The 27559-nt window shown below is 40.2% G+C and overlaps 1 protein-coding gene and 1 long non-coding RNA gene across 8 annotated transcripts, besides 2 other annotated features; one reads left to right on the top strand and one right to left on the bottom strand.

Moving 5' to 3' along the window:
• Positions 219–461: a silencer, noted in NCBI's record as "fragment chr8:97224174-97224416 (GRCh37/hg19 assembly coordinates)". NCBI's record gives its function as "represses an EF-1alpha promoter that drives an FKBP-Casp9 reporter gene in an ReSE screen in K562 erythroleukemia cells {active_cell/tissue: K562}" and the evidence as "EXISTENCE:reporter gene assay evidence [ECO:0000049][PMID:32094911]".
• UQCRB (ubiquinol-cytochrome c reductase binding protein) lies at positions 11220–23818 on the bottom strand. 4 transcript variants are annotated; one of them, NR_045639.2, is made up of 5 exons: positions 23785–23818; positions 21429–21500; positions 20047–20213; positions 19499–19788; positions 11220–19405 (listed from the first exon to the last, which is right to left on the bottom strand). NR_045639.2 is itself a non-coding variant. In NM_001254752.2 (5 exons), the coding sequence occupies exons 1-5, from the start codon at positions 23801–23803 to the stop codon at positions 19378–19380; spliced, it is 423 nt and encodes a 140-aa protein (NP_001241681.1). In that variant the 5' UTR covers positions 23804–23818; the 3' UTR covers positions 11220–19377. The 4 variants fall into 4 exon arrangements, 3 of the variants coding, with proteins under 3 accessions (NP_001241681.1, NP_001186904.1, NP_006285.1); NM_001254752.2 differs by having other exon boundaries at positions 19652–19788; NM_001199975.3 differs by lacking the exon at positions 19499–19788 and adding an exon at positions 22696–22809.
• Positions 23545–23824: an enhancer, noted in NCBI's record as "active region_27659". NCBI's record gives its function as "activates an Ori minimal core promoter by ATAC-STARR-seq in GM12878 lymphoblastoid cells {active_cell/tissue: GM12878}" and the evidence as "EXISTENCE:reporter gene assay evidence [ECO:0000049][PMID:35858748]".
• UQCRB-AS1 (UQCRB antisense RNA 1) lies at positions 23566–27469 on the top strand. Of its 4 annotated transcripts, none has more exons than NR_183274.1 (3): positions 23566–23834; positions 25730–25848; positions 26180–27469. It is a non-coding gene; the product is annotated as a UQCRB antisense RNA 1 (long non-coding RNA). The 4 variants fall into 4 exon arrangements; NR_183272.1 differs by lacking the exon at positions 23566–23834 and adding an exon at positions 23913–24048; NR_183273.1 differs by lacking the exon at positions 23566–23834 and adding an exon at positions 23913–23967.

The raw sequence follows: 27559 nt of genomic DNA on the forward strand, positions 1-27559 counted from the left end.
GGCCTCATCTCAAACAACAACAAAACTGTTATACAAATGTCCTCACTGGGGAAAGGAGTAGTGCTAAATATATAGGAATTGGCTAGAAATGCTGCGCAGGCTCCTTACATGAACAGGTTATTAGATTTGGTGACGCTAAGAACCTAATTCCTTCAAAAGGTCCTGTTTTAATCACCTCCTATGCACCCTGTTGGTGAGAAAGAGATTCTGCTCTGAGGTCATGAGGACAGCTGAACACACAGCTGGACAGGTGAGATTGACAGCAGTTTATTAGTCACATATACTCACAGCCTGGGAGGAGACACTGCATGCCATGCAGGGCTGCACGGAGGTTATACTTGGGAATGCAGTGAACAACCAGGGGCTGTGGGAGGCAGGCTTGTAGTATCAAGAGGGTGAGACGCCCCCCTAGTTCCTGCAGGAGGATGCAATAGGCTTGTCTGAATAATTCCACAGGCTGGCAGGGAATAAAACTAGCTACTCAGAGATAAGCAGAAACTGTTTGTGGTTTCCATGATAAGGAGCTTTGTTTGGCTGGGGGACCTTATCCAAAATAACAGAGGGAGGGGAACTGGTAGTTAGGCCATTTGAGACCCTATGGATTTTATAAGATCCAAGGCAGCACACAATATTGGGTCTTGATTTTAGATCACACGGCCCCATAGGCTTAACGCTCCGTTTGGTCCTGTGTGTCTCTACTTCAAGCAGGATTTATCCCATTAGCCTAGAAGAGAAGCTGGCTGCATTGCTAGTTCATCTGCCTCAAGAAAATGTCATGCAAAATATTGCGGGCAATCTAGGACTTCACCAAACTTACAAGAAAAGACTGGATGAATGTCTTTTGTTGCTAATAAATATGTGTGGCATAATTCCTCTGAGGCTTGCTTTTTCTATTGTAACATACCTCCCAATGGACATAGTTTGTGGGAGGGATCATATGCTTCTCATTCATTTCTAATCCTCAGACTTTTACTCAAACCATTCTGGCAATTATGATGGGCCGACAGGGTCCCTGGTAGTATAGAAGACATGGGGGTTTCCTGGAGGCTGACACTAGTGAAACATAAGCAATACCCCAAATCTGTTTTGAGTACCCTTCTCTTCTCACTCAACACTCACTCTTCAGTGTATCTACTCCGAGAGCCAACGATCATTTCTCTGTGGGTTTTCCTAAATTAATGATCCAGGTCTACTTTGGAGCACCAAATTTACTTTCCTGCCTGTATGGTGGCCATTTCCACATGGAGCCATTAATTCATTAATTCAACCATTTATCAGACATTTATTGGGTAGTAAGTACTCCAGATACAAAAATACGAGAGTCTTGGTGTCTTCATGGAGTTTATGGTTGGATGACGGATGTCATGCAGGCACTTAAAATCAATACATCCAATATAGAACCACAATTTTCTATCCCCAAACCTATTTTCTTGTTTTTCAATTAAAGACATCACCATCCCACCACCTCCTAAAATTTACAACTCCAAAGCCATACTTGTTTCCTCTCTCTCTATCATCCCCACAATTCTTTTTTACCTTTCTGCCCTTGACATGGTTCAGTTACCATTAGCTAGGGAAGAGCATAACAATATAATTGCAATAAAGTTTTGTTGGGTTGAACTGAATTTTATTACAATCCCTAAACCTCTATCCTTACCACCCTAATATTTTATTGTTATCTTTTATAAGATCCCTTTTAACACAAAATATTGTCTACAAAGAACTGTACTTTGCACATCTCTTAATCAAGTTTCCTATTTTTTTGATAAAGTTTCTAAGACTTCAAAAAGTCTGAAAACCCCACTGTCCAGAAGACCAAAACAAACCAACTGACATGGTCTGGTTTTTAAAGGGCAGATCTGAGGTATGGAAAGAAACATCTTTGCTGCTGAGAAAGATGCTGATGGTGCTATTCAGAAAGGGACTCTAAGGATTCCAGTTTTAAACAAACTCTAATAACAAAACACCAGCCAAAGAGAAAGTTGATCCCCTGACGTAAATAGTGCCAGCAATACCACCTTCCTGCCTTCTGCTGACGCTCAATGACGCATCTTCCACCCCACTTGCAGGAGAGCCAATCAGTTCCCTTTGAATGAAATCTTTATTCAAATGTTTAAACACTCCAGGGGGAAGAGAGGGAGAGGACAAGAAAAGTATTTCAGAAACAAATGGGGACCCAAACGCCAAGTTTCTAAGTTTCTGTTCTTGTTACTGCTCAGGTTTTGGCCCTGTGAAGACGTTCTCAATTCCATGTTTTTCGTTAAGCTGGTTTGTTTGGCAAAATCCAATGATAAATACAAAACTCTGAGGTCAGTCTCACCTTACACAGAAAGTTAGAGCTGGGAAGCTCAGCTTTCTGTGGTCGAGAAACTTTGGAAGCCACCAATCTGCTGTTGACAACGGGAGGCAAAGATATGGGCCAGATAATTTTTTCTTTACAAATGTACGAATCTAGGACTTTCCCCCTTAAAAATCCAACACACAAGTAAACCTTTGTTGATGGTTCGTTCACTGCCAGTGGTTAGGTAGGCGTGGGGAAGGCAGGGTGGATGTTAGGAGAGAATGAACACATGCAGTCCATACATACCCCGAGGTCTGTTCTCTAGTTATTAATAAGCAACAAAACAGACCCTTGCCTCTTTCCCCTATTCCTCTCACTCTCAGCTACTTGTAGGTAGTCACGCTCCTGAAGGGTCAAGACTTTGAGGGGAAATGGGAAGGAGCAGGGCTTTTTCATTTGTCAGACCAGCTGGTTGGTCTAGAACAGTTGATACTGACTTCTTGGGACCCTGACCCACTTTCCTCGCGTTGCCCTCCAGGTCACATTTCCCTGCGGCGCCTCTTCTCCAAATCAGTAAAATAAGCCCCTTTTCTATTCCAGCCACTGTCAGTTCATGTAGAAATGAACAAGTCTAAATGTGAAAAGAAGCCTGTTCCAGTACTGGACATCTGAAGGTCAGGGTTTAGTTGTGTGTTACAACCTGTGAAATCATAATAAGCAACGCATATTATGATTATAAGCAAAGTAAGTGCCATGCACTGCTCTGCTCACTTACCTACCTAATCACAATAAACTTAGGAAATAGGCCAGGTGCTGTGGCTCACGCCTGTAATCCCAGCACTTTGGGAGACCAAGGCAGGAGGATCACTTGAGGTAGAGAGCTTGAGACCAGCCTGAAGAATACGGAGAAACCCTGTCTCTACTAAAAATACAAAAATTAGCCAGGCATGACGGTGGGTGCCTGTGGTCCCAGCTATTCGGGTGGCTGAGGGAGGAGAATTGCTTGAACCCAGGAGGTGGAGGTTACAGTGAGTCGAGATCACACCACTGCACTCCAGCTTGGGTAACAGAACAACACTCCATCTCAATAATCATCATCATCATCTTAGGAAATAAGTAATATTATCATAATCCCCATTTTTATAGATGAGGGGACAGAGACACAGAGAGGCTAAGCAACCAGTCTAAGGTCACACAGCTTATAAACAGCAGAGCTGGGATTTGAACCCAGACAGTCTGAATTCAGAGCCCCTTAACTACCCCCCAACCCCAGACCCAGTCTGTCCTCTAAGCAAAGGTGTGAGACTAATGGCTAAGTGGCCTGGGGAACATGCCCACCCCCATTCCCATGGTTGGAGAGCAGCAAGTGAAGGCTGCTTGGAAGAGCAGAGAGAACCACATAGGGAGAGAACAGCAGCTGCACTGGCTCCTTGGACTGGGTCCTGCCAAAAATACAGATCTCACCGCGCTGACCTAGGCACAGGGTCCATAGCTGCCAGCATGCCTGCCAACCAGCCGATCAGAGAGGCCTGATACATGCCTTAACATGGCATTGGCATGGATGGGTGCTCACCCTGATGAGAAAGAAGGAAAATGCATAGTGCCCTCAAATGTGGATGAGACTGAGGTGCAAATGCTGGACATAATATGTATATATCCAACCAGTGACCCACCAAAGGCATGTAGCTTGAATCTAGTTTGAGGACTAGAAAATTACCAGCCTCATAATCATAACACAGCCAAAAAAAGATCTATTAGATGCCATATTAGTTAGGTCAGGTTGCTATAACAAAATACCACAGGCTGGGCTGCTTAAACAACAAATGTTTATTTATCATTGTTCTGGAGGCTAAGTTCCAAATCAAGGTGCCAACAGATCTGGTGTCTAGTGAGCACGTTCTTCCTGGTTTGTAGACAGCCACCTTTTCATAATGTCACATGCCAAACAGGAGATACAGAGGACGCAAGCTCTCTTTTGTCTCTTCTTATAAGGCACTAATTCCATCATGAGGGCACATGACCTAATTCCCTCCCAAAGACCTAAACTTCAAATACCATTATATTGGGAATTAGGGGTTTCAACATATACATTTAGGAGTTGGTGGCAGGACAAAAACATTCAGTTCATAGCAGATATCATTCTTTGAGGCTTCACCAGCACCCAAAAATTTATGCGCGTGCACACACACACACACACACACACACACACACGAGATTGAGAGAGAGAGAGAGAGAGAGAGAGAGAGAGACTGCACAATCCTGGACCAAGTCCAGAGAGTGCTCATCCTCACTGCTAAGCACCTCTACTCAACCTTCACACAGACAGAATGTCTAATTAATTCTTCTCTCCCACACCTTGTTCTCAAAAGGCTAATTTATTGTCACTGTGTCACAAGGGTAGACAGTTTATCTACTTTATTCACCACTGTATCCCCAATGTTCCATTGCCTGAAATACAGAATTACTCAGCCAGGATTGTTTAATTCAATTACTCAGACAATCCCATTTCTTCATGTATCAGGGTCTGTCTATATCTTCCTCCTGAAATGTCCAGTGTGTCCAAACTTCACAAAGTGTCTCTGGATTATGATGAGACTGAGCTACCTCTGTCAACTCACAGCAGAGATGGCTCCAATTTGTAATTACTGCTGGCATTTTCACAGTTGAAAGACAGTAAAGATTCCAGAGTAAAAATAAGTTCAGGTTAGGATTCATGTAAAGATTTTCTAAGCGATCAGAAAGAAATGTAAAAATACTATATTTCTGTTTTTGCTTAACTCAGGCACAATGCCTAAACTTCAAAGACAAACTTGTTTGTCAAACGAAAGAATTTCTTCAGATATTTAAACAACTGCCTTCACCAACCCCTCTACTCTCAAATCCCTATCTTAAATCTCTGAACCAAAGTCCACCGAGCCTTTTCTCCTAGAACAATTGAGCTGTGAAATTGAGATTATAAATTCAATCAAGCCCCAAAGCCGAGTTCCAAGTTGAAGTGTTAAGGTCTAATGTTGATATTTTGCTTTTTAAGTCAACCAAGTTATAATTTGAAACAGTTGTTCATTGGCAAATCAGTTTTTCTTACTTTTTCATGATCTTCAGATAACAATCTCAACAATTAAAGGCTTAAAATATGGGTCAGTCAGCTAAGCAATGTATTTAGGACTCAATATTCAAGTTAGCTAGCTAACAAAATCTTATATCAAAATTTCAATGTCGGTTGAAAAAAAAGCAATTTAGGGAGAAAAAAGAAAGACAAACCAGTGACCAGCCCCAAAGTGACTATTTCTTTTTTTGGACCACCTATTCATGATCACCTTGTGCTGCAAATATTTGAGTAAGAGACATAAGGTGCCCTCTAACCCCAGAAGCGAGTTGCAGCAAATGGTTCAGCATGTTCTTCGCCTTCTCAACCAATTTTCCACTAGGAAGTTCTCCCACTAATGAAAGATATCTGATGTGTTGCTTTTATACCAAGTTTTGATCACCAAGTTACTGAGTCAATTTCCTAATTAAAGGCATTAAGATTTGACCCTTGCTCTGGAGGGCAATGTAGGACTTCTTGCCGTCAACAAACTGCTCCCAGGTCTTCCAAAATGGGACAATAAAAGCCACTTTTCAATAGTTAAGTATTTAAAATCATTTAAATGGTAGCAAAGCCCGCAATGCTGGCAAACTTATTTGTGAGGGTTCTGACACAGATTCAATCCAAAATGCATATTAAAGAATGAGAGAATTCCAAGATATAAGTTAGGATAGTGCTTTCCAGCAAGATGCATGCTATTAAGAAGTAAGAAGGAGGTGGAGAAATGAAAAGCAGAGAAACTGAAGAATCATCAAATATCTTAGTTATGAAAAACTGAAGAGAAATGGGGCATTCCAGTTGAGGAAGGTTTGGAGTCTGATTTTCAATATAGGAAACATGTACATGTTTGGAGTTATACTATGTTGGTAATCCTTGGCCGGGGCATTCAGATGATTCTCACGTTTTTTGTGTTTGCTTGTTTGCATACTGATATGGTTTGGCTGTGTTCCCACCCAAATCTCATCTTGAATTCCCACGTATTGTTGGGGGGACCCAGTGGGAGGTAATTGAATCATGGGGTCTTTCCTGTGCTGTTCTCGTGATAGTGAGTAAGTCTCATGAGATCTGATGGTTTAGAAAATACATGAGTCTCCCTGCACAAGCTCCCTTCTCTTGTCTGCCACCATGTGAGACAAGCCTTTCACTTTCCACCATGGTTGTGAGGTCTCCCCAGCCACACAGAAATTTAAATCCAATAAATCTCTTTCTTTTGTAAATTTTCCAGTCTCAAGTAAGTCTTTATCAGCAGCGTGAAAACAGACTAATATACATGCTGAATCAGAATTTCTAGGGTAGGGCCTGGGTGTGTGTCGTACATTAGAACCACTGCAGGTTAAGAATTAAGAACAACATTGTACCACGTATGTATTTTTTCTCCTTGATTTTCTTCTTATATCACAAATTAATTTTTCCAATACCATTAATTTTAAAAAAGAACACATTCTGATTATAAAAACAAATCACTGAAAATTTGGAAAATGTGAAAAAGCATACATAAAAAGCTTACCATCATTTCTAATTTCAGTAATCAGAAATACCCTTTTAGTCTATGGAGTTTCAATCTGGATAGATTTCAAAAGATCTGTGGCACAAACCTCTAAAAATTTATGGAAAACTACTGCTTAGTCTTTTTTTTTTCCAAACCCATACGTGGTTTTTTGTAATACTGGTATTGTATATTTTGTTTTGAAACTGCTTTTTTATTCAGTTAACAAGAATACATGCACATTTGTCCATATCCTTAAGTACCCTTTGAGAATATCACTTTTACAGGGTGAATAACATTCCACCAGCCATCTTCCCACGGTTGAACAGTAACTCTAACTATGCTTGAACAGTAACTTGAACTATAAATAATGCTGTCATAAACATCCTTGTACATAAATCTCTGCATTTTTATATACACCTTTTACATTCTGAGATGTGAAATTACTTACTGGGTTAAATGGTATGTCTTTTTAAAGACAGCATCTGCTGCCAAATTGCTTTTGAGAAAGATCATCTCAATCTGCACACTGACCCGGAATGTATTAAAGTGTAAAGGAATCTATTTTTTTTTTGTTTGTTTGTATGGTCTTTTTTTTTTTCAGGCAGATTCTGAACCTGCGAGTATGTTAACCTACATGGAAAAAGGGACTGTGCAGATGTGATGCAGTCAAGGACCTTGAGATGGGGAGATTATCCTAAATTATTCACGTGGGCCAATGTAATTCTGCTCTGTCGCCCAGGCTGGAGTGCAGTGGTGAGATCTCAGCTCACTGCAACCTCCGCCTACCGGGTTCAAGCGATTCTCCTGCCTCAGCCTCCCGAGTAGTTGGGATTACAGGCATGTGCCACCACGCCCTGCTAATTTTTCTATTTTTAGTAGAGATGGGGTTTCGCCATGTTGGCCAGGCTTTTATCAAACTCCTGACCTTAGGTGATCTGCCCGTCTCAGCCTCCCAAAGTGCTGGGGTTACAGTCATGAACCACTGCTCCCAGCCTGTTCGTATGTTCTTGAAATGCATTGTGTAGCTTTGATTTCTTTTCAGATCTCTTGTATTAGCAAAGTTTTTTGGAAAATGACAACCTGATAAAGGGCCCAAGCGTCCTTAAATGAGTTACCTGAAGAAAGACAAAAGAACTCACCTGAGTTACTCTAAAACCCTTCATCAGTCCCAGCCCAGGCATCTCCTGCTCCACGAGGACCCCCCAATTATCCATTCCTTCCTGTGGTGTCTAGGTGTTAGATGTGTCCACATCAGAACTCCGCATCTGAACATGCTGCCTCCTGGGTGGAGGGAAGGAACCCTTCATAGTGTGAGTCCTGGTGGAAGGTAAACCCCTCCATCCTGTTACCAGAGCATCAGAAACTATATGCCTTCTCCTGATAGCTGGCCCAGTATTCCTGAACCAGGCTTCACCAACTATATGTTCCAACTCAGGAACTTTGTCTTGCAGGAATCACACAGGCACAAGGATAGCTGAGAAATGACTCATGGCAGCAGCAGGGGCTTGCAGCTGCAGTGGCCAATGCAATGCTTCAGGTCCTGGGCAGGACCTCGGCTATGTACTTGAGGCTATCCATACCTCTCTTGCATTTTTCTTTCTTGCCCTCTGTCTGAATAACAACCTCCCCAAAGATATTCCTATCCTCCTCCCTGGAACCTGTATGTTAACCCACATGGCAAAAGGAACTGTGCAGATGTGATACAGTTAAGGACCTTGAGATGGGGAGATTATCCTAAATTCTCCAAGTGGGCCAGTGTAATTCCAAGAGCTTTTATAAGAGGGAGGCAGGAGGGTCACAGATAGGCAACGGCCATGTAGCAATGGAAGTAGAGATTGATGTGGACATCAGCCAAGGAATGCTGGAAGCCTCTAGAAACTCAGAGATTCCAGGAACTGATTCTTCCTCAGAGGAGCCAGCCCTCACAACTCTTTGATTTTATCCCCATAAGGCTCATTTTGGACTTCTGACCTCCAGAACTGTAAGATAATAAATTTATGTTGCTTTAAGCTACTAAGTCTCTTCATTTGTTACAGCAGCAATAGAAAACTAACACACCTTCTCACTGATTCCATGATATTCTCTCAATACAAATTTCTGCTGAATTAAACCACAGTCCATTTCAGTTGCTTATTACCAACTGAATGTTACCTACCTCTAGCCTACACCCCAGCGTTGGTTGGGTACCCATCTTCTATGCTCCCATGCCACCTCCTGCTTCCTGTGAAGGAGCCTCTCTCTCCCTGAGTTGTGATTGTCTGCTTACTGGGCTATCACCCCTCCAGACTGTACTCAGTAAGAACAAGGACTGAATGTGATTCATCTTTCCATGCCAACACCTAACACATTGTATGAATAAATATTAGTTGCATGAACAAATTAAAACTTATTTGTATATAAATGTGCAAAAAAGGTGGAAGTGGCTTAAGAAAAAAACTTTCTGAGTAGATAAACATTCATACTAGGCTCCTTTTCTTTAGACAATGGAAATTATTAAAAAATCATATACTTCTCTAAAAGGAAAATTCTGTTCAGATTTATGATAGAACTGTAAAAAGCTGAGTAAACTTACAATATGTTAGCTAAATCACTTGGACAGAACTGAAAGCAGAGTCAATGTAATCAACATATGATAGTATTAAAACCTAATGAGAAATTAAATGTCCGTTTGAGTAATGCTGGGTGTGTCTATGTTTCTCACACTTCAATGTTATTGTAGGACACTCCAGTGGCTGGTTGCAAAATCTTGATGGTCTGCTAAACCTGGCTTTATCCAGGCTGATGTAGAACACGCATTTGAGACATTTGAACTTAGGAGATCTCTCTCCCTTGCATGACAGGGATTTTCTCCCCTCCCTACCAACCATGTTTCCTGTCTAAATTTTTTAAGCCTTTGGATTCTATCCTACCAAAATTCAAAAGCACAAGTGCACAAGGATATTCACTGCAGCTTTGTTTGTAATAACATTCGATTGGAAGCAACCCAAATGTCAATCAACAGGCAAGTAGTTGAATAAATTGTGGTACATCCATAATCCGGAGTTGTATGCATTTCTTAAAAAGAATGAGGTAGTTTATACATACTACTTGCCTTATAATCATATTTCACTGTTAAAAACCCTCCAGGGCCTACAGTTGCATTTGAGTAAAATTTAAACTCCTTCTTCTGGTCTAAAATGCCCTCCATGGGGTGGCTGTGCCTACCTTTCTGACCCGAGGGTTGGCACTCTTCCTTCTCCATTTGGATTCAGCACAGTGGCCTTCTCTGTCAACTCCTTCTCAGCCACCCCCAGCTCATTCCTACCACAGGCCCTTTGCACTCACTGTCCTCTTTGCCAAGAATGTTCTTTTCTAGATCAATGTTTATCAGCTTCAATTACACATTAGGACCATCTGCATCCCAGGCTGCTTCCCAAACCAATTAATGTGGAAACTCTGGCGGTCAGACCCAGGCATCAGGTTATTTGGGGTTTGTTTGCTTGTTTGTTTTGAAGCTTCCCAGGTGATTCTCTGCACAGCCCACCTAAAGAACCAGGGCTTCCTGCGGTGGCTCCTCTCCAACGTTCAAATGTCATCTCCTCAGAGACAGCATGATCACTCTACTTTCACAACTAAAGATTTCATTTAAGAAATAGAGTTTAGAAAGAAAAGTATAAACAAAAGATGAGTACAAAATGGAATTGAGTTTGTAAAAATAAAGGTAAGTGTGGGACAGCATTGTTGAAAAGACAAAATAAAAAATAAAATAACCTGATTAAAGCATGGGCAAAGGACCTGAATAGACATCTTCCTAAAGAAGACATGAAAATGGCCAAAAGGTACGTGAAAAGGTGCTCATTATCACTAATCATCAGGGAAATGCAAATTAAAACCACAAAGAAATATCCTTTTACACCTATGAGGGTAACTACTATGAAAATGACAGGAGATAACAAGTGTTGGTGAGGGTGTAGAGAAAAGACAGTGCTTGTGCACTGTTGGTGGGAATGTAGATTCATGCAGCCATTATGGAAAACAGTATGGACATTCTTCAAAAAATTAAAAGTAGAACTACCATGCAATCCAGCAATCCCAGTTCTGGATATATACCTCCAAAAAATGAAACCACCATCTCAGAAGGCATCTGTGCCCACATGTTCGATGCAGCATTATTCACAATAGTAAAGACATGGAAACAACCAGTGTCTGCCAACAGATGAATGAAAAAATTGTCACACACACACACACACACACACACACACACACACACACACAATGGTATGTTATTAAGCCTTAAAAAATAATAAGATACTGCCATTTGTGACAACATGGATGACCTGGAAGACATTATGCTAACTGAAATAAGCCAGACACAGAAAGAGAAATACTGCATGATCTTATTTATTTGTGCAATCTAAAACATGTCAAATACATAGAAACAGAGAAGAATGGTGGTTTCCAGAGTGGGAAGGATCAGGAAATGGGGAGAGGTAGGTCAAAGGATACACAAACTTGCAATTATACAAGATGAACAGGTCTAGAGATTTCATGTACAGCATGGTGACTATAATTATATTGTACACTAAAAATTTGCTGAAAGTGTAGATTTTAGGTGCTCACCAGACACACATACACAAAGTACTATCGTGGTAATGGATATTTTAATTTGCTTGCCTGTAGTAATCATTTCACTATGTATATTTGTATCAAAACATCATGCTGTACACCTTAAATAAAAAAGAAAAGACAACATAGCAATTTCAAGGAAGACAGAATTTAACTTTCCATTTGCTCACTTGCAAAGTGTGATCTTGTACCCGTTACCTAACATGTCTGAGCCTCTATGAAAAGAGGATAATTGTGCTCACCTTGGAAAAATTTTCAAGGAATAAATGAAACCTGAAATGGCCCACAGTGAACACTAGGTAAATAGTATTTATTATTGTTAAATAGTAAATGATTGGTTGAAGTAGTAAGTGCTTTACAAAGTCAAAGAAAATAGAAATGTCAAGTGCCTGGGGTTGACAAAGAGCTTCTCTCAGTAGGCAGAATTTAATTTTTGTCTTAAAGTAAAGCTAGAATTTAGACAGAGTATGGTGAGGATTGCAAGTGCCATTGCAGGGGACTGAGAATAGAAGGAAAAAAGGTTAGAGGTAGAATTTTGCAGAATGTGTTTGGGGAAGAGGGAGTTAAAACAGGAGGAAAGAGAACACAATGTTTTCAGAATGGACAAACCTTCTGTTTTCTATCATATGGCATCTTTTTAGCACTGGCATTTACCTGCATTAAATTGTGTAGAAGAGTAAGTCTCTGATTGGAAGCAGATCTATCATGGGTAGAGGCAGACAGGTGGGGGTGGTAGAAGCCAGGCTTTGGAAGGCCACTCCCTTCAACTGGAACTAGTGTGGTCTCCTGGAGTCTGACTCTGGGGCATGAGTTAGCTTACCTCAAAGAAGCAAGCTTTGGTTTTCCAGGAACTGACCACAAACCAGTTCCAAGTAGCAGCACTTGGTGCTCTCATGGGGCAACCTAGCCATTCTCAAGGGCAGCCCAGTTCTGTGTGAGTCAGAGTCCTGGCAGGAAAGTGTGGCACACCCAATCAGGCAAACCAAAGAATGTCCAATGAAGGGACAATTAACAAACGGCAGGCAAGGTCAAGGAGAACCAACTTTGATAGAGATAGCAGAGTGGGGAGGGATGGAAGGGAGAGCTGTAGGAATCTTGAGAGGGGCTGCCTGACAGGAGCTGTAGCTTTCTTCAGAGGAACGTGGGCTGGGGAATAAATATCTCTGTCTCTCTCATCTGCCCTCTCTTGCAGGTGGCCACCCTCCCCACACTGGCTGGCCAAGCCCAAGCCAGAAGCCAGAAGGCAAAAGTGTCTATTTGTGCAGTCTTTACATCAATTTATCTCTCCTGGGGTACAGAGCTGAATCCAGAAGGGACAAGAGTAGATTTAGAATATGCAGCACAGCCAACGTCTCACAGAATGAGAAGCCACAGAAGGGGCTGATTACCAGGCTGCATCACCCTCAACAGACCCGTGTTTGTGGAGCCCCTCCGGACCTCTCTCTTTTACCCTTCCTCACATCCACCTCTTACACATCTAACTGATATCCAGTCAGGCCAACTGGACTTCTTAGTATCTCTCAAAAATATACTCTGCTCACACCATATCCCTAAACTCCAGAGGGATTGAAGATTTATGGTTTTGTTTCTTATACCTAAAAGTACTGGATGAAACCTTGCTGGATATTTATGAAAACTTGGAGTAAAGAGAGGACTTCTCAAAGCATGACCTCAGAGGCAAAACCACAGAGGAGAGGACTGAGAGTTTGTACTACATAAAAATCAGAAACTTCCATTTGACAAAACCCACCATGAACAAAGTTGAAAAGGCATCCAAAAAACCTCAAATAAAATTCAAACGATGAAATAAAAATATCATTTCAGCAAATGTAAGTAAAAGGGGTACTATCTAAACATATAAAGGTCTCATACAAATAGATAAGAACTGACCCAGGTTTGGGAAGGGGGAAGAGGGAGCTAAGAGGAAAACTAAACAAATAAGGAAAAGGCTGTGAAAATTAAAAATAGGCCCATAGGTGAAGGACATGAACAAGATTGATGAAAGAGAAATAACAACTTGATAATAGCATATGGAAAAACGTCTAGCTACTCAATCCAAGAAATGCAAGTTTAAACAAGAAACTCTCCAACCAAATTCACAAAGATTGCTTTTAATGAGAGCACTCAGTGCAGGCAGGAATGCAATAAAGGGACCCTCGTGATTGCTTAGATGAATATAAATTATTATAAACTTTTGAAAAGCAAATTGGAAGTCCAGTATTGAAAAACTTCAAATATTCATCCCCTTTGCCCCAACATTTTCACTTCCCAGAATCTATCCAAACACTCTGCTGCTCACAGGATGAAGTCCAGGCATCTCAATATGGCGTACACCTTTCAGGTTGCATCTCCCATGTCTCTCCAGCTGATATTTGCCACTCCATCAGTGCAAAACTGCCTGTCCTTCCCTAGACATACATCCTGCACTTCCATGCCTTTGAGCATTTCCTGCTCATTTTCTTCTGCTTGGAAAGCCCTTCACCATCTTCTTGGCTTAGCTAACTTTGCTTACTGTTCTGGAATCAGCCACATTATCAGAGGCCCTGATTCCCATCCAGGTTTAGTTAGTTTACCTTCTCCATGTTTCCATAGTACCCAGTACATATTTTTTGTGGACAATTCACACAGTATGTACATCTATGTTTACATATTCATGCATCTGATTACATACCTGTCTCTACCATCTTGGTTTTTCTCTGTATTCCCTACACTGGTGGTTTTTAGCTGGGAGCAATTCTGCTCCCCCAGGGGAACATTTCCAGACAATGTCTCAAAACATTTTTGGTTGTTACAGTTGGAGGCAGGAGGCGCTACTGGTACCTATCGTGTAGAAGCCAGGATGCTGCTAAATATCCTGTAACACACAGAGGAGGCCCCCACAACAAAGAATTATCTAGCCCCAGATTTCAACAGTGACGAGGCTGCTATATTCTTCCTAGCTTCTGCCTAGCCTGGAACATAAACACATACATCAATTTAAAAAATCCAGAAAATTATGTAATGAACAAGCATAAAATGGACTTTCGAAGCCTAATTTCTTCTTCCATACAATGGGCATTATAATAGCCATGCCAGAAGGTTGCAGGGAGGATTAAAAGAGACAACATACGAACAGTGCCTAGTACAAAGCTAGTATTCCATCAGTATTAGTTCATCCCAACAATAAAGAGCGTAAGTTAAATCACAGACCCAGAATGTTTTGGTACTGAAATGAAAAAGACTTTTTAGTCAAAGCCCTTCATTTTCTAGCTGAGGAAGCCAATCTTTAGACTAATGACTTGCCTAAATCATTGGCCTCAGATCAGTGTTTCCAGTTTAATGGCAAACCACATTTTAAATGCATGCATAAGAGAAAAATTGTAAGCTGACTCCTTTGTAAAACAAATAATTATCTTTTTTTGGTTTGGCTTGTGAATACAATTGTCACAGATATGTATACAATTTTCTTAAAATATTTAGAATACTAACAGAACAATTATTCAACTGGATAATGTTACCAGAAGTTTTCAGGGGTTTATTTTAAAATTACATTTTTACATTTATGCAAAAATAGGCACATGTATTCAAACAAAAAGTTCAATAAATAATACACTCTTTCTTTGTAGGAGATATAATCAGAATCCAGAATGACAATTTAAATAGTTTATCATAAGCCTCTGGAATATTAACAGGCTTTCTGACATCTATGCTAAAAATTAACCACCGTATAATGATTCAGTTCTTCTTTCTTGCTCAATTGCTAATACAATAAAATTTCTTAGCAAAATATAACTTAGAGGCACTATCCGACCTGAGATCTCAGATTCTAACATGTTATGGCTTTTAATATGAACGCCAGTATAACCAGAATGTAAACAAATTATGGCATATAAATTAAAACATTTAAAATATTTTAACATCTATAGACTTTATTAGGTGTTCCTTATACAGTCATCTGGTATGTTTAAAGAGTGAGCAATCATATAAAAGGAAATATGGTCATAACTGATTGAAGTAATAAAATCCTGAAACTAAATAACATCTCATAATTCATTGCACAACATATATTAGATTTCATTACATCAGTATATAGCTTAGTAGTAAATTCTCCTGATGGCCATAAACCTCTAAGGTGTTGTCATCCTGAAAAATGAAGGAGGGGAGGGAGTTGGTGGGGCGCAGAATGGAGAAATCTTCCATAGTGCTCGTGTGATGTACACTAAGTTGTAAAGTTATAGGGCATCGCCACCTAGTGGCAGAATTTCATGCCTTGTTCTAATAAAGGGATTTTCCTTGTTTTCCAAAGAGCAACCTGTCTTACTCACTTTCTAACCATCCCTCTCTGATACTGTCCCTCCTAAAATCCATGCTTCCTCCCATACACCATAAACCCATCTGCTCTTCATCCATCAAGCTGTCAAGGATTTGGTTATGACAATCTTCATGTTCACCTAACTTTTTAATTCCAAGTAGTTTGGTTATTTTCAAAGCTACACACAGGATGCCCATATTTTTAAAACTCCATCCTATTTGTGAAGGATTATTACTTTGGGCTTTGGCCCAGTTTTTATTCTTACTGCTGAATCTTTTCATAAGTCAAAATTAGTGCAGAGTTAATGCTTGAAAAGGGAGTCCTTAAAGTAAATAACTAAATGAAATCACTACCAAAATGTACACTTTGGATTTATTAAGATTCTAGAATTTAAAAACAGGAAAAGGTGCCATTAGTAAAAACTCCATCACTAACATTTTGGTACCACTCGTAGAGCGTCACATAAATATTCAGACCATGATAACTCAGTGCAGGAATGTTATCAAATATTTCCATGCAATCTGGAACTAGGACCACAGCTGGCAATTGGGGGTCTGAAGGCCCGACATCCCTTACGCTGCTTCCTACATCTTGACAACAGGAAGGCCAAGTGATACTAGGTAGTGCACTACAACAGTGAACATAAGCCAGCCATCTGTTTTTTTGCAAAGTATAGTAAAACAAACAAACAGAACATAGACCACTTCAGAGTAAACAAACATAACTTTCTTCAAGATGTAGGAAAACTGTATATTCAAAACCAATCTCAAACTTTAAACAACAAAAGATATCAAACATTTTAAACTGTACAAAGCAAATTAGCAGGATTTGAATATTGGCAGTTTTAAAATGTCACCCATCCAAAACACAAAACAGGGAGATAGCCAAGTCTTAGCTCCATCCTAATCAAAGCTGTCATGCAGATCCAGTTCCACTCTTCTCATCTCCAGCAGGTACTTCACTCAAGGAGGTGACACCCAAGGGGAGTAGATGAACCAGAAACAAGAGTGCCACATAGAAGGAAGAGAGGAGACCTTGGACCTTAGCTACTGGTTAGCTATTCGACATTGATGATATTCAGCGTTTTCCCAAGTTATTCTTTCTCGCTTCTCAGCACATAATTTACATTATGCATACTATATGCCAGAAACTGTTAGTGCTTGACATGCAGTCAGTTAATTTTCACAACTGGGTGAAGTAGGTTTCTATCATTAGCTCTATCTTAGGGACAAACAAACTGAAGCACGGAGAGGTTAAATTGTATTCCTAAAGCACTACACAGTGAGCAAATAGATTCAGACCTGTGCAGTCTAACCCAGAATTAGCTCTGAATCACTCTACCATTCGGTCTACAGGACAATGTAGACCAGACTACAGGACAATGTAGATTTGGTCTACAGGACAATGCAGAGTGCCTGTGTTTCAGGCACTCTCATGGTGATTTTCCACACAGGACGGCTTTTGATAATAGAAAGGCCCTCTCTTTCAAATGAAAGGACTTCACTGATGGATTAACAAATTCTCACCCATTCACCTGTGTGAGCCAAATACTAGATCTACTTTCTTAGTCTTCATAACAAGCAGGACGATAACCATAATTTATAATGAACACAAAACATTGATCTAGTGTTCAAAGAACTTTTGCACACTTGTTCTCATTTAGAAGAATGAAGTAATCTGGAAACATAGAATAGGCATACACTTTGGCTTTAGGAAGAACTCTTACAAAATCAGAGGTTGCCTTATGTAATACCACACTTTACCTTGAGCAGGTGGATAGCCTGGGGGTTCCTGTTATACCTCAGTCTTGGTCAGTTCTATTTGTTCCCCTGTCCTTCAGCAGTGCCCTTAGGCTTGCTTTAAACATTAACAGCATTCATAAGCATGGTTTCTAGGGTCAGAGCCCAGCCTCCCTCCACCCACCCGGCTCCCTACACACCTTGACAGTGCTCTTTGAGATGCCTCAGTTGTAGTCTCCTTGTAATTGTGCACAGTAGACGTCTGAACGAATAGACCAGAGTCCTGCAAACGTGATCTTGAAATCACTATTAAAAGAGCCTTTGCAGAGATCTACTCAGGAAAATTTTCTGAATAGACAAATGCTTTTAAAGGGGGTTCTAGACAGCCCATCTTCTTGGCCTCCTTCTGCAAAGTAGGACTACATTAAAACCTTGTCACAATGTGACCTGAGCAAAACCATTATCAAGTGATCTAGTTGTCTTCAACCATACAAAAGAAAATTGACATGATTTCAGGATAGGTTTAGAAAAATAACGACCAGCGAAAGGAAAAAAAAAAGCGGGGGAGGGGGTTCCTAGAGAATTTAAGAGGCTAATATTTTAGCAAAAATTTAAAGATGCTCTTTATGATACACACATTTCTCATTGCTTTACAAACTTTAAATGTAACACAAATTCGTTTTTCACACTGTTTTGTTATTTGAGGTAAGGCATTCCTGCCACACACAGCAATGACTTGTCCTGGAAAACCAGGGAGGCTGCAGGTCCTACTGTTCCTTCTCTACTAGCTGTGGCTCCACACTCTCACCTCTACCAAAGAAAGCATTTCAGAATTTAGGAGTGGAAATGATGACAACATTGAATAATCCTAATTTTTTTTTTGAGACAGTCAATGTCGCTCAGGCTGAAGTGCAGTGGTGTGATCTAGGCTCACTGCAACCTCCACCTCCTGGGGTCAAGCAATTCTCCTCCCTCAGCCTCCCGAGTAGCTGGGATTACAGGTGCCTACCATCACGCCTAGCTAATTTTTTGTATTTTTAGTAGAGACAGGGTTTCACCATGTTGGCCAGGCTGGTCTCAAATTCCTGACTTCAGGTGACCCGCCCGCCTCGGCCTCCCAAAGTGCTGGGATTACAGGCATGAGCCACCATGCCTTGCCAATGATTCTAATTTATATTTTTAAAAATTACCCTATAATCTTAAAACTTTTAACTGACTAGTATCCAACCCTTAAACTTCATAACAATCATTTCCAAAGTGGAAAAGTCACTGGGATATGGGGACAGTATGATTTGTCTTTATACTTTTATTTTTCTAACATCTTTTTGTTTTCTAGTATACATGTTAGCACAGGAGTATGTATATTACTTAAGTATGCCTATGTTGGGGTGCAGACATAATTTCTTTTTAAATGATAGGATGCAAAATCAAATCTGTTTGCATACCAGTGAAGAGGCTATTTCTCAATCTTGGCAAACTAGGGGGTGCATACCCCCTTCTTTTATTCAGTAGCTTCCATAAGGATGTAACTTACGGAAGTTATATCCTTCCATAAACTGATAGGCTATCCAACCAGTGAGGAAAACTGATAAAGTGGCTTCTGAGCTCCAAGTAGCAGTTAAACACAACTAAATATATCTTGAAAGTTTGGAAAAAAATTTAACAGTAAAGGGATTCAGTAGTTATTCAGTATAAGGTTTGGAATTCAAAAACTCCAGCCATTACAATAGACATTTATTTAAAGTAAAACATCTTCAGACCAAATAATTCTTAAAATTGTTTGTTTCAAGTTTAACCATCTTCATAACAGCTGCATCCACAGACTTCAACTACATGATTACTTCTTTGCCCATTCTTCTCTTTCTTTTCTTTCCCGAATAACCTCTTTCAGATACGGTTCAAGGTAGAAATTTTCCTAAAGAATGAATGAAATATTATATGTTACCATCACGTACTGATATATCCCAAACACTCAACAGGTCTTCAATAACAAGAAAAAAGCAATTACTTTTGAATTTCCAATTTTAGAAAACATATTCTCAACCTAAGAACTATCTGCTTTTTAAAATGTCAAATCTGTGGTGATGGTGTGATAAGTTGCTTTGATAGGTTATGAGGGGGAAGTCTTTTCGGGAAGAAAAAGAAATGAATGTCCACAGGCCTTTGCCTAGTTTCAATGCAGTTCAAGGGGTGAGAGTTTGCTTCACAGAAGCTCTTCTTGGGATCTGGAGGGACACTCAATGGGCTGATCTTTTCATCTAAGTAGGAAGCAGAGTGCAGAGCTGGAACAGCAAAGACCTGGGAGGCAACAGACCTGGATTTTAGTCCTGGCTCTCTATATTAGAGACTTGCTTAGTAATTTCAGAAGAATCATTTCACACGTAAGACTCAATGTGGTTTTCTTCTAAAACGGAAATAACATTTGCTTTATTAACCTCACATATTTATTTGACATGACTCAGAGAACTCTAACACTATGCAAATGAACATGTTTCTCTTGTTTCTAAAACTCCATCCTTAATGAGCAACACTGTCAGGTAGATAAAGCTGTGCTACCTCTTCATATTTGGTCCACTGCTCTTTAGGCAAGATCTGATGCTTCAAGTTCAGGTCCAGTGCCCTCTTAATGCGAAACATCCTGTCATTATAAAGGTTCTCAGGAAGTCTTCTTATGGCTTCTTTTACATCTTCATCCTCGTATATTGTATCATCTCGCATTAACCCTATGATAGATGACAAAGTTAGATTGCACATGCATCTCAAAAATCGCGGTTTTTTTAAATTAGTAAAATACCTTTATGACTTATAACTTACAACTTTTGGTGAACTATCGAATTCAAATCACTAGGTTCAATGGAAATTCAATGCATTTCATACATTATAGGTTGGTGCAAAAGTAATTGCAGTTTTGCCATTAAAAGTAATGAGTTATTACTTGATATAATGGGTTACTTCTTGAACTAGACTATGGAAACAATATATGAGCCTCTTAAAATCCAATGCCACAAAATTCATATTTTATCTAAACCATTTACAAAATATTTTAAATGTTTACTTTGTTTTTAAACACACATTAATAAACCACATCTCTTTTTTCTCATAGTTTAAATCTGAGATCAAGGTATTAAAGAATCTTAAAATGATAGTATACTAAGGAACAGTGACTTTTGCTTACACTTTCTTCAAGCTTCAATAGTAAAAGATGAAGTTCATGGTAAATTACAAAGTTCTAAAAAAGCTTAGGAATCATATGATTGCATGGACGTGATAAAATTTTAATATTCAAAAACTCTCTACTTTCAATGTTTATATAATTTAAATTAAAATTTTAAGTGGAAGGCCGGGCGCAGTAGTGCACACCTATAATCCCAGCACTTTGGGAGGCCGAGGCAGGTGGATCACCTGAGGTCAGGAGTTTGCGACCAGCCTAATATGGTGAAACCCCGTCTCTACTACATACAAAAAAAATTAGCCAGGCGTGGTGGCACACGCCTGTAATCCCAGCTACTCAGGAGGCTGAGGCAGGAGAATCACTTGAACTCGGGAGGCGGAGGTTGCAGTGAACCGTGATTGCGCCACTGCACTCCAGCCTGGTGACAGAGCAAGACTCTGTCTCAAATAAATAAATAAATAAATAAATAAAATTTTAAGTGGAAGAGTTGGGAAAGGGGGTGTAGAAGGAAAATGTCTTACTACTTAAATCATTACCAAGTCGAACATTTTAGAGGCTTTCATCCCTCTTCTCTCAAAAAAACTTTAAAAAGGAACTGGATTTAACATAATGTGATTTAATTTTAAAATCTTCTGATGTATACAAGAACTGAAATGGTTTTTGGAACCACAGTAACACTTGCAAAAGCAATACTCTCAGAAAAACAAAAAAAAAAACAAAGAAACAACAACAACAACAAAAAACATTAAACAGCACAGCTGCTTACCCAGTTTATTGAATCCTGCAGCATTGTAATACCATTTTCGAATACCATCCAGCCACTTGCCTGATGCTGAAACTGATAATTGTCACACTGTTAATTGCTACAATTTAATTATACTATATGAACACATTGATAGGCAAGCAACCAGTACTCAGTTATCTTGCTGATGAATGCAAACATAGAAATAAATTTCCTTTTAAAAGTATATAGTATATACAGCAAGAATTTAATCAAAAGAATTAGATTTAAAAGAAAAAAGTTTATACTCTATAAAATGTTGATAAAAAGTGCTTATTTTATTTATGAGCAAAAGTGGTTGCAGGAAAATGGTGGCAAGTCATGAAAGAAAAGGGTAAACTCAAACACTGAATGTACAAAAGATCCATAGGTACATCGTGTGCCCTTATGCCTGCCCTGTTACCTTCAGAAATGAAGGGGTGGGAGATAGGAAAAGGACTTGGAAATTTCCATCATTTGTAGTTTCATAAATAGATCACAGGAAATAATTGTAAACTTTTCATTTCAAGAGAGCTGGAGTTGTAGGGAAAAGACAGTGAGATTTCAGCATAGACTGGCAGGTCTAAATGACCCTCATCCTCTAAAATTTTTACTCGATATTACAGTTATTTCATTTGGCCACATTCTTTAAAAATGTATGTATTTTGGGGAGGATTTTGATACCATTAGTCATTTAAACATTAATATGGATTCGTAAAAGAAGTCCATTTACCTCCTCCTAAGCAACTAAGTTCCCCCCAAGGGAATGGATATTGAAAAAGGATGAGAAATAGGTAATTTTAAAACTGTTTGGGGAACAGGGCTGAGCCTGATGAAGTAACCCAGCAGGGTCCAAGTACAGCAGGACCGTATCTGACATTTTAGGAGAGACATTTTACAAAAGGAGAGGTAGAACAGGTTTGTATTCTCTTTTAAAATTTTGTCTAGGGTTAGCCCTTACCAAGGAAGGAAAGCAAACTCTCCTTTCACTCAACTCTCCTTGCTTGCAAACTCAGTGCACTACAGATTACGTGGCTTTAGCAAATCTCCTTGGAAATTAAGAGTCATGTATAAAACTGCTGCTAGAAAAACAAGTATCAGTCAACAATCTACAAACATACTTGTGGAAGACAGATTATATTCAACCACCTATCAGTGACTATAATAATATTCACTAAGCACTTATTGTGCACCAAACACTTTCCTATTTGCTTTACCAACATTAGCTGATTTATTTACATGTCTGTTACTACAGAAGGGGAAGCTGGCTTACAGAAGTGATCCCACCCAAGGTCAGAGTTAGCTAATGGGAGTTGAGATCTGGTCTATGTAGTTCCCAAACACGCACAGAAGCAGTGTCTTGAATTTAGTAAGACTCCTTCAATATCTGCCAAATTAATAAAATAATTATTTAAAAAGTCTCCCCCACCCCCAAAAAGCTCAATGTCAATTAGGTTAACGGATGTTTCTGGCAACCTGATGTTTCCTAACAGCTTCACAATTGCTGGGGGCGGGGAGAAAAGGATCAACATTTTTTAAGCTACTCCAACTTGGTTGCATTGCAGTGAGACGAGATTGTGCCATTGCACTCCAGCCTGGGCGACAAAGCAAGACTCCGTCTCAAAGACAAAACAAACAAACAAACAAAACGGCTACTCCAACTTGTACCGCCAGAGGGCAGAGATTAGCAAAAAAAAAAAAAAAGAAAGAAAAAAGAAAAAAAGAACCTACAATAAATTCAAATTTCTCCAAACCTACTGATCAAGCTGACGCTCTAGATAATCCAAGGTCAACCTGAAGCGTCGCTCGTATCCCTTGCTCAACTGTCTCTGATTCGCAGTTTGAGAAGCGCGAGGGGTGCAATGATATTTCCAATTCTACTTCCTTGGGTCACTTTGCCTCAGTTATCTTATCAGCGTAAAAGGGAAATTAATATCTCCCTCGTCGCAATGGCAAGAAAATTTATAGGGCCAATGCACACGATAGAGCACTTGGGTCATAGAAAGCACTGAGCTCATTCGGGTTGAAAGTCATCCACTAGTTATCCTCTTGTGCCCTTTAACTTTTCTAAGGCCAAGGGGAAGGACTTCCAAGCACGGGCAGCTGGAACTCCAGGGCTGTCAGAGCCACCGCGGGCACCTTCACAAACAGCGGGTTAACATCCCAACCCTATACAGGCAAGCCCGCCCTGGGGACAGCAAACGAGTGGGGAAGCACATCCTTTTCACTGGACTGAAGCAGCCAATTTCCCTTCCGCGACAAACTTGGCCACTTACAAAGAAGAGAGAAAACGGAGCAAGCTGCAGCAAAAATAAACGGTGAAGCGCGACGATGCCGGCCAAGAAGACCCCCAGTTACTTACCGGCCTGCTTACCAGCCATTTTGACCAGAAAGAGAAGCGTTGCCTTCTGGGTAAGTCATAGAGGACAAGCTGGGCCCAGTCCGCAGGCGCGTTACGTCACATCGCGAACAGAGAAAGGCCGCTTGCGCAGGCGCAGTTCTGACGACTGCCGTTCAGCACCTGCGTAAGCACCTCTCGGCCAGGGTGAGGCCAATGGAGTAGGCGGGGCATTTTGCGTGCTACATTCTAAGAAGTATTGGTTGTGATGTGATGGGAAGAACACAGGTCAGGAATTAGGAGACCAAGGCTTAAAGCTGGGTTCTGTTATTTGCTGTTAATAGCTATGGGAGCGTGGACAGTATTAATTCAGCTCTTTGTGCCAGGCAGGAAGCTAAATGTTTTAAGGGCATCGTCTTACTTTCTATTGAAGGACTGATGGATGTGCCATCCCAAAAATATATGGAATTGGTACATTGATTATTTCGAGTTGAAAATATTGGAGAAATTGTAGTTTCAGAAAAGGTTTGATGACCTATCTCTTCCTGCATGCAGCAAGCCATAAAGCTTCCTCCAGGATTCCTCTGGAGTACCCGTCCCTTACCAGAGGGAGAAAATAGCACCTATCACCAGAGACGAAACTGGGGGCTGCTTTGGACCTGAATATACTTTCCGAAGTAACCGTTATCTTCCACTAAGTTTACACCCCAACACACACACTTTTCTCCTAATGACTCCGCGAGAAATTTACTGCCCCTAGCCAGATCCCCTTTCTTCTGATTTGTAGTTCGTGTAAAAAGTATAAAGGCATCTTACATTGGCCACTTCACTCTTTTGTGCGGATCCCCATGTACATGTAAAACTAGTAAAATTAGTATGCTTTTCTCTTGTTAATCTGCCATGTGTCAATTTGGTTCCTAGATTCAACCAAAGAGCCCACATAAGAGCAAAGGGGAGGGAGGGTTGGAGGTGATCTCTCACTCCCCTAAACTATCTTTTAATTCTAAAAGTACTGTAATTATCTCATTGTAGAGAGGAGAAAGCTGAGGCTCAGAAAGGTTGAATAACTTGTCCAAGAGCACATGACTAGAAGAGTCCAGGTTCTTCTTCCAGAATCTGAAAATCCAGATGCAAATTTGGGGCTCCTTAATTCTAGGGTCATATGCTATACTGCTACACTACTAATCCAGGAAAGACACCAAGCCTTTCAGGCCTTGGGTTTCTCCAGCTGAAGATCTATATCTAGCTATTTTAGTGGAAGGTTAGGTCAGAAAAGGTTTTGGGTTTTTTTTGTTTGTTTTTTTTCACCCTTTTTTTTGTTGTTCAGCCTCTGTCACCCAGGCTGAATGGCACAATCTCGGCTCACTGCAACCTCTGCCTCCTGGGTTCAAATGACTCGTGCCTCAGCCTCCTGAGTAGCTGGGACTACAGGTGTACACACTACCATGCCCGCTAATTTTTGTATTTTTAGTAGAGACGGGGTTTCACCGTGTTGGCCAGGCTGGTATCAAACTCTTGACCTCAAGTGATCCACCCACGTCAGCCTCCCAAAATGCTGGGTTACCCGCGTGAGCCATCATGCCCAGCAGAAAAGGTTTTTAAAGATTAAATCTAAGATGTATTGCAGAATTTGCACACAATTTTAAGACAAAAGAGAAGTATATAGATTTTCTCACTTTTAAGGTCTCAACCCCAACATGCGAAGTCTTAGGCATAAACATCTAGAGACAGAAAACAATTAGGGGGAGCTAGCATGACTGATAGTTACTGGTGAACTTCTACCATTACTCAGTGATATCTTTTTTTTCCCCTCAGTTTTAAGCTCAGAGCTGGGACAATATAGAGTAGAACCTTGTCTCATCCTAAGTTCAAAAGGTTAGATTTAACGATCTTAGTCACATTCCAGTTCTAAAATTATATTGATTTTCCTTTTTCTTCTATCTCCATGCTGTCACAATTTCTTCATTAGTCAGTCCTGTATACAGCACTAAAGCTGATGAATGATCTATCTTACACTAGCCAAAGTGAAGTCTGAAAGATGTGAAGAAATGCAGTACATTTGTACATTGGCACATTGCCCTGCAGAGGGTAGGTACTCAATAAACTCTCCTCCCTTCCACCCTTTAAGTTTTAGCTTGCTGGTTACAGGTGAAGGTGGCAAGAAAAGACATATCAAAAGATCTGAAACCCAAAATTGTCACAAAATCCAGCTCCTAAGGAATTAAGCTAGAGAGACTGAATGTTTGCTGGTAGTGATTGTTGATTCAAAAACTATTTTTGGTTTTCTTTCCTCCCAGCACAGGATTAGGGATTGCCTCTCTGCCCTATTAAAGTTAGGCATGGCCATGTGATACTTTGGCCAAGAAAAATGTGATAACTTTTTAAGAGCAATTCTTCACATTCCTTTCCTTTTCCATAGACTGGCAACACTCCAGAAATGATGGAGACAGGATACATCAACCTGTATCACTGAAGATGATGTGGAGCAGAGCCTTTGTGGTCCTAAGAAACATGTATAAGATAAAAACTTTTGTGGTTTTTCAATCATTTGAGGTTTTAGGATTGTTCATTGTATCAACACAACTTGCCTATTCTGACTGCTAAGGTTGTTCACTGGGTTATTCATAAAGGCAAAATGAGGTTGTGAGCCACAGAAAGAGAGGACAGGATGGTTCCATGGTGTCCCCAGCTTATTTTTTATTGTTTCCTGTTTATTGATCTCATCCATTGGAGAACTCCATGAAAGCACATATCTATGCCACACTCACCACTGTATTATAGAACTCAAATGTCGGTTGCATGAATAAAATATGTAACAGGAAGGCCACTATACCTGGCCCTGACCAATTACAAATTTAGTTTTTCATGAGGTTTTTTAAAGGGCATCCAGCACACCACAGAACCCTGTGCACAACAAACTACCCCCAAAGTTAGCGGCTTAAAACACTTTCTCCCAATTCTGAATTCCGCTGGGTCGTTCTGCTTAGTGTAGTATCTACTAAGTCTGGGACATCCCAGATAATTTCTTCATGCATGTCTGGTGCTCAGTTGGCATGTCTGAAAAAGCTGGGTTTGGCCAGACATCTTTCTGTCCACCTAGTTTCTCCAGCAGAGTAACCAGACCTCTCTACACAGTAGCTTAGGGTGCCAAGAGCAAATGTTCCAAGAGGGCAAGCCCTGATGTGCAAATCCTTAAGCCTCTGCTTGACAAATGTCCTCTGGGCCAAATCACATCGGCCCAGAGTCAGTGTGGGAGAGGACTAACTACACAAGAGTGCAAATACCAGGTATGGTTCATGGGGGCCCCCAGTGTTAACAGTCTACCCAATCTGGTGATCATAAGGCAGACAACTGAAGTCATGATGCTTCGTTTTACAAATAAAAAAGCAAAGGCTCAGAAATGAAATCACTTGCCCAGGATAACACATGTTGTAAATGGAAAACAAATATTTGTTTACTGGTAATAAGTCAAAGGCTAGTTAAGCCTTTCACTATATCTCATTGCCCCTAATCTTTAAACTCCACTTTCCTTTTCCTTATTCTTAGCCAACTGTGAATATCTGTGTTCAAGAAGTTAACAATGTAGATAATCCAAAATGAAGTGTGTTTTGTAGCATTATCTGAGCAGTAGATATTAGATGACTAATGTAGTATGCTCTGGAAACTCGTAACAGTTCAAAGGAAATAAAGCCATTTTATAATGAAACCACTTTAAAAATCCTCCACTGTTTTCATCTTCACGAGAATGACAAAGCACCAACTTAAAGTAAACCAACTCTTTCCCCTTCTCTGAGCTTGC

Source organism: Homo sapiens, chromosome 8, assembly GCF_000001405.40.
Source record: "Homo sapiens chromosome 8, GRCh38.p14 Primary Assembly".
In the NCBI taxonomy this organism is placed as follows: domain Eukaryota; kingdom Metazoa; phylum Chordata; class Mammalia; order Primates; family Hominidae; genus Homo; species Homo sapiens.